Source organism: Homo sapiens, chromosome 6 (genome assembly GCF_000001405.40).
Source record: "Homo sapiens chromosome 6, GRCh38.p14 Primary Assembly".
NCBI classification, from domain to species: domain Eukaryota; kingdom Metazoa; phylum Chordata; class Mammalia; order Primates; family Hominidae; genus Homo; species Homo sapiens.
In genome coordinates this window covers 24,521,330-24,533,038 of record NC_000006.12, presented here as the reverse complement: position 1 = coordinate 24,533,038, position 11,709 = coordinate 24,521,330, and the positions used below count along the sequence as shown (strand labels likewise).

Genomic DNA, 11,709 nt, shown 5'->3' with positions numbered 1-11,709 from the left:
CTTCTCAACTCCCTTGGTGCCCTCTGCCCAGAATCTCTCTCCTCCAGCTTCTGCACAACCAGAATTCTGCCCATCATTTATGACCTAGTTCAGGGTACGTCTTCCTCCACCATCACCCCATCGAGAAGGAAGAGACAAATGCTGAACTCAGTGTTATAAACGTCCTTGTGCACACATCTTACTCCAGCTTTACGATAACTCTAAGGGACCTCATAGCATGCTTATCATTCCTCTTGGTATAAATAGTTCTCTTACAGCTAGAGGGGAAGCTTCTATAGAGCTATAGTGGCATCTTGTATGTCTTTGTATCTTCTGCAGTACTTCATTTGCTGTGGATGCTATTACATAATTTTCTCAGGGTTATAGAGTACATGCAGTGACCACCTGGCCCATCTCCAAACTAAAGGAATGTCAGCCATCAGAGAGGCACCTCTGCACACACCATCTTCACTCCTTTCATTGTCCCTGACACTCCTTGCTGATGCCCTTCCTCTTCTGTTCAGGCTTACAGGAGCCACGCAAAAGGGAAGAAAAAGCATTTGGAATTTCTGGGGATTAAGCCTCTGAGAATGTGGGACTTTGAGATGTGTGCAGTTCTCCACCTAGAAAAGTAGAATAATGTGCACCTTCTCTTCTTCCCACAGCTGTAATTAGAGAGCTCCCAAATGTGTATCATGGGGACAAGGGAAAAGTACACATACTTGCACAAATCCAAATCCATTCCACCACTTGGAAAGCAACAAAACACATACCTCATTGAAGTTTCTGTCTCAAAACCCAGGGTGATGTTTAAAAGGGTAAATCTGGCATGAGCTGGAGAAAAATGATTATGACTGGTATTGAACAAGGACAAACACCTACCTGCTAACCCAACATCAGCTGCGTTAGCGATTGCTATAGCCTCCTCCTCTGTATCGAACCTGCCAAAGTTAAGATAGGTCATAAAAAATGTAAGGGGGAGAGGAAAGGAAACCAGTTTTGTTTTCTTCTGATTTGTTTCCCAAATAATCACAAGGAGTAAATCAGAGTTTTGCAAAGAGATCCAAGAGCAGATTGCAGAAGAAAGCAGCACCATTCCCCGATATAACTCAGCGATTAAGGCTAGCATGCTCAAATCAATACTGGCTTCATCTCTCCTAAGAGAACAAGAAAAAAGCAGACCAACATGTAGGGAACTGTGGCATATCCAGAATATCAAACAAAATCCCTTTAAAAAAAAAGGATTACTATTCTTGGTACCCACTGGGAATATATAACAATCATAACAACTACTTTAGAAGCAAGCCTGATGTAGCAGAAAGAAAACGTTCAGAAGGGGTTGGGGCCAGGTTCTAATGTGTCCTCCACCACTGCTTAACAATGGCACGATGCTTGGAGTCTCCTCCTCTCTGAAATGAAGGAATGCACCAAAGCCCAGGCCATCTCTTCTAGCTTTAAAATTTTATTTCAGGAATAAGATGTCAGTGATATTTTTCTGTTGTTCCAGAATTGTAACTGGGGCAAAAAGTTCTAAGCACCCCAATTTCTAAATTCAGAGATCTACCAGCAGTTGGAACCAGCTGTCTCTCTGCAGGGCTTGCAAAGGGGGACTGGGTAGAGCCAGCTCCGAAAAGTCAATTTGTCCAAGGGTACACAGTTATGAAGTAGCAAAGTCTAGAGCTACATCATAGTCAACTGCAAAGCCTGCATTCTCAACCAATGCCTTCCGTTGGTTTCCTGTGAAAATGTCCAGTTCACATTTTATGTAAAAAGTTTTTATTAAAACAAAGAAGATGAAAGTTCTTCAAGGGTCCATTTCCCCAACAGTGGAATAAAAATAAACTTCATAAGCAAGATGTAACAAGGCCAGTGAAGTACATAATAAGAAAGATTTCTGGTCCTGGATAAGACGGTACAGATAGCACCAGCTGCCAGCTGTCTCTGTGAACCCAATGCTGGACATGCCAGAGGACAGAGAAAGAGAATCATAGTCAAAACCAACAACAACAGCAACAAAACCTCAATCGGAAACTAGCACCAAAAATGCAAGACATTTCTGGAGGCCAATAAATTGGTTGGATCCTGGGGGAGAATGATGGCCTCACGTGAGAGCGAGCTCGAGACCACCCATGCAGGAGTGGGCAGGGCAAGGGCAGGGCTGCACGTCTCCTACCACGCCTGTGAGTTCCAGGTGATCCTGCCTACAAACCTGGGTCCCTGGATCAATGCGACATTGCTACAGGTAGAAAAGCAGCAGGGCTGGCTTGGGGCAGTGAGCCAGTGCTCGTGCCCAGCAGGTACACCAGCCATGGGAAACAAGTGTAGGCAATGGCAACACCAGCAGCCTCTTCTCCCCAACCTATTCCAATAGAGGGAACTGCAAAATACCCCAGCGGAAAGGATACTTGGGGTGGAGGAGTGGCACTGAGACTGGATTTTAACACTAGAGCCATCCTCAGTGAGGCTCAACCCTTTGCCCTCCAAATGTATGAGGAGCACAAACCAAGGCCTAAGCTTTTTACCACAACCCATGGGAGATATTACAAGCCAAGGCTGCCGACGGTGCAAGGGGTTAAAGATGAGCTCACAGGGAAAATTACAAGATGTCTGAGGAGCTCTGAGACTAAGAAAGATAAAGCAGCACAACCTATACCACGGGAGACAGAAATGGTGGAAGAGAATAAAAATGTTTTTTTTAAAAAGGAAAAATAGCCACAGCAAAGTAGGGGAGAATAATGAAGCAGGAAGAATCAGTTATGGGGAAGAACCCACTGGAGATATCAGGGATGGGAAAAACAATTGTTGAGATAAAGATCTTGGTGGGTGGGATGGAAGCCAGAATGAGTATATCTGAAGAATGCATTAATATGCTGGCAGATGAGGGGAGGGACTCGCAGAAGGCATCAGGAATGAATCAGGAATGAAGAGATGGAATGAAGAGACAAGAGAACTAGGGCACAGAAGTAGAAGTATCACAATAATAGACTACTTGGAAGGCTAGAAAAGCATAAATGAAAGGAAGAAGAATATCTGGAAAAATAATGACAAAAAATTTTCCAGGACTAAACAAACCTGTTAGATATTAATGAGCTGGGCATGGTGGCTCACGCCTGTAATCCCAGCCCTTTGGGATGCTGAGGCGGGTGGATCACTTGAGGTCAGGAGTTCGAGACCATCCTGGCCAACATGGCGAAACCCTGTCTCTACTAAAACTACAAAAATTAGCAGGGCCTGGTGGCGGGCGCCTGTAATCCCAGCTACTCAGGAGGCTGAGTCAGGAGAATCGCTTGAACCCAAGAGGCAGAGGTTAAACTGAGCTGAGATCGCAACACTGCACTCCAGCTTGGGTGACAGAGCGAGACTCCATCAAAAAAAAAAAAAAAAAAAAACCCAAACCAAAACAAAAAAACCGTATTAAAGATATTAGGACCTCAACTGAAAAACCTCACTGTGTGCCATACCAGATAGTAAAATTTAAGAACATCAAAGATCAAGAGAAATTCTAAATGTTTCCAAAGAGAAAAAATAGATTTCTTTCAAAGAAGCAAGAATCAGATTTCTTGGCAATAACCCTGGATAAAAGTAGATAAAGAGGCCGGGCGTGGTGACTCACACCTGTAATCCCAGCACTTTGGGAGGCTGAGGCTGTTGGATCACTTGAGGTAAGGAGTTTGAGGCCAGCCTGGCCAACATGGTGAAACCCTGTCTCTATTAAAAGTATAAAAATTAGCCAGGTGTGGTGGCACATGCCTGTAGTCCCAGCTACTCGGGAGGCTGAGGCAAGAGAATCGCTTGAACCCAGGAGGTGGAGGTTGCAGTGAGCCGAGATCATACCACTGCACTCCAGCCTGGATGACGGAGTTAGACTCCATATCAAAACAAAAAACAAAAAAAAGAAAAAAAAAGTGGATAAAGGAGTAATATCTCCAAAGGGTTGAACCTAAAATTTTATCCAGGTAAATTATTATCTACTTGTGAATGGGAGATAAAAGACCACAAAACGACACAGAAAGTTCATGTCCTATGGAGGCCAATGAAAGAATCCTTTGAGGTATAATACATTAAGAAGGAAAATGAGTTCAGGTCTGAGCACGGTGGTTCATGCCTGTGATCTCAGCACTTTGGGAGGCAGAGGCAGGCGGATCACTTGAGGTCAGGAGTTCAAGAACAGCCTGGCCAACATGGTGAAACCACATCTCTACTAGATTACAAAAAATTAGCCAGGCATGGTGCGCGTGCCTGTAGTCCCAGCTACTCGGAAGGCTGAAGCACGAGAATCGCTGAGATCATGCCACTGCACTCCAGCCTGGGTGACAGAGCAAGACTCCATCCTCCATCTCAAGAAAAAAAAAAAAAAGAGTTCAGCAGAAAGTAAGAAAAAGTAAATTAAAGAATTTGAGGCCAGGCATGGTGGTTCACTCCCATAATCCCAGCACTTTGGAAGGCCAACGCAGGACTACCTGAGGTCAGGAGTTCGAGACCAGCCTGGCCAACATGGTGAAACCCCATCTCTACTAAAAATACAAAAAATTAGCCTGGTATGGTGGTGGGTGCCTGTAGTCCTAGCTACTCTGGAGGCTGAGGCAGGAGAATTGCTTTAACCAAGGAGGCAGAGGTTGCAGTGAGCCAAGATCGCACCATTGCACTGCAGCCTGGGCAACACAGTGAAACTCCATCTCAAAAAGAAAAAAAAAATAGAATTTGATAAATTTTATGGTCCAAATAAGTTATGATTTTTTTAAAAACCCATAAATTGCACTCTGCTCTTCAATGGACTCAACACAACTGTCTGCCTCCTGGCCAGACCTCAAAGCAGCCCAGGAATCTCTTTCAGGGTTTCCTATGTTCTCTTCTATTCTTCCTCCCATCTCCCCGCTGGCTGGAGGATCTTACTTGATAACTGGTGCCAGAGGCCCGAAAGTCTCTTCATGAGTGCACAGCATGTCCTGGGTGACATTGCACAGCAGGGTAGGCTCAAAGAAATTTTTTCCAAGTTGGTGTCGTTTTCCACCTGTCACAACGGTGGCACCTTTAGAAACGGCATCATTCACCTGTTTCTCCACCTGTGTAATGAGGAAGAAAAAAAGCTTTCCACATGATACAATCTTTTAGAATGTTTAAACTGCAGAAAACTATAACTAGTTCCATTTTTTTTTCTTTTTCAAAAAAAGTAGGTTAACAATAAAGCATGCTGGTTTCCTTTTGTAGAAGGAACCACATTTGCAGAGATTCAGAAGCAAGAGTGCCACCTTCCTCCTTGGTCTTTGATATCTTCTAGCTGTTTGATCTTCCTATTTGTTGAATGGTCTAATATATATTCGCTTCTTTCTAGGCCTGCGGCTCAGCCGTTTGCTTGGATTTGCTTTCATTGCATTCTGCGGTTATTTCTAGCTTCTTGGATCCCATGTTGTCCTATTTCCTGAACTGAGTTTTTGTTGCTTTCTGACACACATAATCTCAAGTAGTTGTTATTTATTTATTTGTTTTTGAGATGGAATCTCGCTCTGTCACCCAGGCTGGAGTGCAGTGGCATGACCTTGGCTCACTGCAACCTCTGCCTCCCAGGTTCAAGCGATTCTCCTGCCTCAGCCTCCCGAGTAGCTAGGATTATAGGCACCCACCACCGCGCCCGGCTAATTTTTGTATTTTTAGAAGAGACAGGGTTTCATCATCTTGGCCAGGCTGGTCTCGAACTCCTGACCTCGTGATTCACCCGCCTTGGCCTCCCAAAGTGCTGGGATTACAGGAGTGAGCCACGAGGCCTGGCCAAGTAGTTGTTTTAAAAAAGATGCACTGGATGTGGTCTAGTTTCTGAATTTTCATACACCAAGTTTCTGGTGTTTTGTACTCCACCTGATTGATAATTTGCTTGAGTACAGAATTCTGATACAAAATAACTTTCAGAACTTTGAGTGCACTTCTCCACTTCCGGTGTTGCTGAGGAAGTTTGAGCCAAAAATGGTTCTCACCCTTTTTCTTCTTGATAGCTTTTTCCTCTCTGAAATCTCCTAGGATCTTCTATGCTCTGATATTCTAAAATTTTAGCAATACTATATATATATATATATATATATATATATATATACACACACACATATATATATATTAGATATATATATAGAATATATAGTAGATATATATAGAATATATATATAGTAGATATATATATAGAATATATATATAGAAGATATATATATATAGAATATATATATATAGAGAAGATATATATATATTCCCTTTTCATTCATCCTACTTGGTAAGCAGTGAAATCTTTCAATCTGCAGAATAATTATTTTCCCCTAACTCTGAGAAGTTTCCATCTATTATTTACTTGGTAATGTCACTTCCTCCATTTTCCCAATTATTTCACTCCAGAACTCCTACTACTGGACGGGTATTAACAGGAGTTCAGATTAGTTCTGATTTTTTTTTGCATTTCTATTATATTTTTTGCCTCTCTATAGTTTGCTTTAAACTCCATAAGATCTCCGAAATTTTATCATCTACTTCAGGTACCGAATCTTGTGACAGTCATATGTCTAATTTCTACAGACTCTTTGTTTTCATTGCTTCATTTCCTAGAACATACTTCTTTTTTTATTATTATTATACTTTAAGCCTAGAACATACTTCTTATTAACAGTTTACAGATGTACTATCTTCCCAAAACTCTTGCAGGACACTATGAGATTTTTAGAAAATTTCCTTCCAGTTCCCTAATTTATCTGCTTCCTTCAGGGACTATTCTGTTTGTTCTTCCTGACCTTTCCTCTTATGTGCTGGTGGTTTTCCCATCATGATCCTTGGTTGTTCATCTTTCTGAATGAAGGACTGAGTTGTCGAAACTAACCTGGTCAGCTCCTTCTCAGCTCCAGCAGTGTGTTTGGGGGACACACACACACACAAGGACTGGGTTGATCAATTTGGGGATGTGTGGCATGAGTGGTCTTTGCTGTTTTAAGCTTGGGTTTATTCTAACTTGCAGGCTTCACATAAGGGCAGCTCCCTTCCCCAAAAGGCAAAGTCGAGAGAGCCCTACCCTGAGGTACCTAGCCTCGCTCTTGAAGCTGTAGTCTGCCTAGATACCTACTATATTTCTTCAGAAAAGCTGTCCTGCCCAGAACAAATGCCTCTGCTGTCTCATGTGTCTTGGTGGTGGTCGTGGTGAGAAGGGATGGTGGGAATGACCCAGAAAATTGTGCAGAAGTAGAATCAACCAGCTTCATCTCCTCCCCTCCTCCTATTCCTACTTTCTGTAGCCACCAATTCTAGAAAGGCTCTGTCGTTTAAAATGGCACCAATTTCCTCTGCAGGGTTCCCCTGGGTAGACCCATCTATTTTGACTTCTGTTTTGACTTCTGTTTTGTTGCTCAGGCTGGGCTGGGGTGCACTGGTGCGATCTCTGCTCACTGCAACCTCCGCCTCGTGGGTTCAAGAGATTCTCTTGCCCCCGCCTCCTGAGTAGCTGGGACTACAGGTGCTTGCCACCACACCTGGCTAATTTTTCTTTTCTTTTTTTTTTTTTTTAGAGATAGGGTTTCACTGTGTTGGTCAGGCTGGTCTCAAACTCCTGACCTCAAGTGACCCACCCGCCTCAGCTTCCCAAATGCTGGGATTATAGGCGTGAGCCACTGTGCCCGGCCCTCAGCTGAATTTTCTATAGGGTTTCAGGAAGGTAAATATAGGTGTGAGTGCATTCTGTCTTTGAGACTGACTCTTTTGAAATCCATGCCCCTCCTGCAATGCTCTCATAGTGCATCACCTGCAACTAATCCCCATCGGCTAGGATGGCTTACTTTCTATGAATTTTATATTATAAAAATAATTCTACTTAACAAAAATACCCCCTTCCTCCCCAAATATAATCTGCTCTGCCCTTTTCTTGTCATATTAATGTGAGATGCAGTGTTTTTTTCCTAGAACCCACTCTATGACAGTATGTACACTAAAGCCAACACAATGAAGTGTTTTTAAACAAGGTGGTTTCCACCAAATTTCTCTCCAGCAAAAAAGAAATCTCGCTGTCTGCTTGTTTGAAGTCCTGGCGTACAGCACCATCTGGAGGACAATGTCTGCGTCTTCCCTTTGGGGAAAAAAATCTTCAAGACAGAGTGGTTTCCCAGACTGGCTGCAAACTAGCATCATACTGGGGCACTTAGAAAATGCCAATGCCTAGGCTGACTACACATAAATTAACACCTAGTCTTCTTGGATGGGTCCCAGGCAACTGTAGTCGATAAAGGCACGGTGTGAGTTAAGGACCACCACTCTAGGACTTGAACCACAGCTGGCCTAGACCCAAATTGCCTTCACTAGACAAGTGAATACCCCTGCCTTGTCCCCAAGGTCCAAAGTCACCTCTAAAATGCAGGTGGTTCCAATGTAAATTTTAATGTATTTTCTTTATCTAGAGTAATCCCAAGACAGTAACTAGAAATTTATCAGAGCTCTGTCAAACCTCGAGGCTTCCCTGGGTTTCCCAAGGCAATGGATGTGGGTTCAGCTGAGTTGACTGCCCACGGGGTGGAGGCAGCCATGGAGTCAGGGCTTGGTTCTCAGGCTCTGAGGAGGTTGAGGAACAGCGGTGGGGCTGTGCTTCCCATGATGAGTACTGACTTGGCTGTCACTTGCTTCTGGTTCTTCAGTTGCATCCAGGGGCTGGCTGTGCCTCCACTGTGTGTCTCCCTCTGACCACCTCTCCTCCCTTCTTTCCCACACACAATCTTCAGCTTCTACTGTCTTCCTGATTTAAAATATTCCGTTAAAACCATTTCTGGGTAGGCATGGTGGCTCACGCCTGTAATCCCAGCACTTTGGGAGGCCGAGGCAGGTGGATCACCTGAGGTCAGGAGTTCGAGAGCAGTCTGGCCAACATGTGAAACCCCAGCACTACTAAAAATACAAAAAGTAGCCAGGCGTGGTGGTGGGTGCCTGTAACCCCAGCTACTCGGGAGGCTGAGGCAGGAGAATCAATTGAACTCAGTGGGGCGGAGGTTGCAGTGAGTCAAGACTCACCACTATACTCTAGCCTGGGCAACAGAGCGAGACGCCGTCTCAAAAAAAAAAAAAAAAAACACAAAAAACTGGATGTTTGATATTACAAGAAACTTTCTTGTGACTCCAAAATGGATTTTTTTAAAACAGTAGAATAAGGAGAGAAGTCTCATATAGCTAGTAGTATGGATTATAACATTTTTTTAAACAAACAAATCTTTCCTAAAAGCAGTTTCCCCTCAATATCTCTAAATCCTGAACGCGGCATCTGTGATTCTGCACCCCCGGCTGGGATACTTTCATGAAGGACTGTTTTAGACAGGGATTTTGTCATCAAGAGAAGAAAGAACAGGACAACATCAGCATTACAGCCGAAACGCAAACCATCTCAAAACCAAGCCAGTCTTCCATTCCATAGGTGTTCCAAAAGATGAATGAACTTTGTCTCAAGATCCTAATTGCTGAGGCAGTGAGGGATAGAATTATCATCACTATAACAAAATTTAGGGAGGACAGTAAAGAGCTACAGTGACAGACCGCATGGGGACTTGGTGCAATGGCAGGGCTATAGCAGCTCATGACCAGACAACAACCCGATTCATATAACTGGTAGGCAGAATTCACTTTTCTCAGGTTTCTCCATTGTTTACAAAATAGGCTTGCTGGGCACTTTACCAAAATGACTTTTTTGTTTTCATTTTTTTTTTTTGCCTTTTAACATCATTTTTTTTAGCTATTATTAATTTTTTACTTATTTTAACCTTTGTGGTTTTTGTATGAAAACATCATTGAAAATTCCATTCGATTCCATGTATAGATGTAGATCTCTCATACTCTATACTCTAATCAGGATAGTTAGCACATCTATCGCCTCAAACATTGATCATTTCTTTATACTGGGAACGTTCAAAATCTACTCTTCTAATAATAGCTATTTGAAAATATACAATACATTGTTGCTAATTACAGTCATTCTACAGTGCTGTAGAACACCAGAGCTTATTCCTTCTGTCTAGCTGTAATATTCTGTCAACCCACCCCTCTCTATCCCCACCCCTCCAGCCAAAGTGTTTTTTGCTGATTAAGCTTTTCATATTGAAACCATGAAATTTACTTTCACAAATAATACAATATACTTACCTTTTCTACCGCTTTTTCATTAATTAATGGGCCCTGAGTAGTTCCTTCCTCAAATCCATTACCTACGCGCAGGTTCTTCTTCATGGCCTCGGCGAATGCTTTTACAAAGGCATCATGGATGCCCCTTTGCACCAAGAATTGGTTTGAGCAAACACAAGTCTGGACAGGAGACAAAAACAAACCCACACAGTCTGTCAGAAGCTGCAGACCTGACCAGTGAACGTGTGGCTGCTACCGCCTCTCTGTGAAAACACTTCCCTCGGTGGTTGTCATGTGCTCAAACTGCCATTTTCCTCCTCACGTGGGCTTGGCCCCAAAGATAAAAGCACTGAGTCAGTGCATGTTCCCCTCCAGTTCCCTCCACAGCTGCTATGCTACACAGCTGCTATGCATCAGTGATTAGTTGGCAATAAGCACCTGTACACACACACACACACACACACACACGAAAGAAAAGAAAAAAAAGCCACCCAATCCATGTTTTTTTCAAATGGCTTTTATTTTGTTTCCCTGGGGGGTGGGGAAAGAGTGCAATTCTCCTAGGAGACTGTGATGCTGCAGCAACAGCAGAGGCTAAGAGGAATGTGGTCCAACACCAACTTATAGTCTTTTGTTTTGCTGACACAGGGTCTCGCTCTGTCGCCCAGGCTGGAGTGCAGTAGTGATGAGTTCACTGCAGCCTTGACCTCCAGGGCTCAAGTGATTCTTCCACCTCAGCCTCCCAAGTAGGTGGGACTATAGGCACTTGCCACCATGCCCAGCTAATTTTTAATTTTTTTTGGCTGGGCGCAGTGGCTCATGCCTGTAACCCCAGCACTTTGGGAGGCTGAGGTGGGTGGATCACCTAAGGTCAGGAGTTCGAGACTAGCCTGGCCAACATAGTGAAACCCATCTCTACTAAAAATAGAAAAATTAGCTGTAGTCCCAGCTACTCAGGAGGCTGAGGCAGGAGAATCTCTTGAATCCGGGAGGTGGAGGTTGCAGTGAGCTGACATCATGCCACTACACTTCAGCCTGGGCAACAGAGTGAGACTCTGTCACACAAAAAAAAAAAAAAAAAAAAAAAAATTGTAGAGACAGAGTCTCACTCTGTTGCCCAGGCTGGTCTCCAACTCCTGGGCTCAAGTGATCCTCCTGCTTTGGCCTCCCAAAATGCTGGGATTACAGTTCTGAGCCACCATACCTGTCCCCAAGTTGTAGCCTTACAGTGTAATTGATGGTAACATATATTGACATTTTGTATTTATGAAGGAAAATATACTTATTTCAGACAAAACCAAGCTTATTTAGGTTATGTGGAAGGGAAAAACTTAATTACCAAAGGCCAAGGCAAGGATGAAAATTATTTGATAGAGAATATCACACATTTCAGTTTTTTCACAATATAACCTTTCAGGGATATTTACTCTGTTTCTAGAATGCATTTAAAATTACATATTGATGGTACTTTTAAGATGAATGCTTAAGAATATTTAAGAAGGCAGGACCCTGGCAGCAGCTTGGATAGAACTGGAAGACAGGAGCCTTGGCTCAGAGTCCCAGCTCCTCAGCAGATTTGACACTGTGGCCCAAAGACGTCTGATCTCTAAGTCACTT

At 43.3% G+C, this 11,709-nt stretch overlaps 1 protein-coding gene across 3 annotated transcripts in view, besides 1 other annotated feature; it reads right to left on the bottom strand.

Annotated features, from left to right (window-relative positions):
* The window catches only part of ALDH5A1 (aldehyde dehydrogenase 5 family member A1), a 42,239-nt gene that overhangs the window by 4,169 nt on the left and 26,361 nt on the right, over positions 1–11,709 (bottom strand). For all 3 annotated transcript variants that reach the window (NM_170740.1, NM_001080.3, NM_001368954.1), the window contains 3 exons: positions 10,114–10,272; positions 4,873–5,042; positions 862–920 (listed from right to left, as the gene is read on the bottom strand). In NM_170740.1, coding sequence (NP_733936.1) covers positions 862–920; positions 4,873–5,042; positions 10,114–10,272 — 388 coding nt within the window. The remainder of the gene's footprint in view (positions 1–861; positions 921–4,872; positions 5,043–10,113; positions 10,273–11,709) is intronic.
* Positions 10,536–10,585: a silencer, noted in NCBI's record as "silent region_16992". NCBI's record gives its function as "represses an Ori minimal core promoter by ATAC-STARR-seq in GM12878 lymphoblastoid cells {active_cell/tissue: GM12878}" and the evidence as "EXISTENCE:reporter gene assay evidence [ECO:0000049][PMID:35858748]".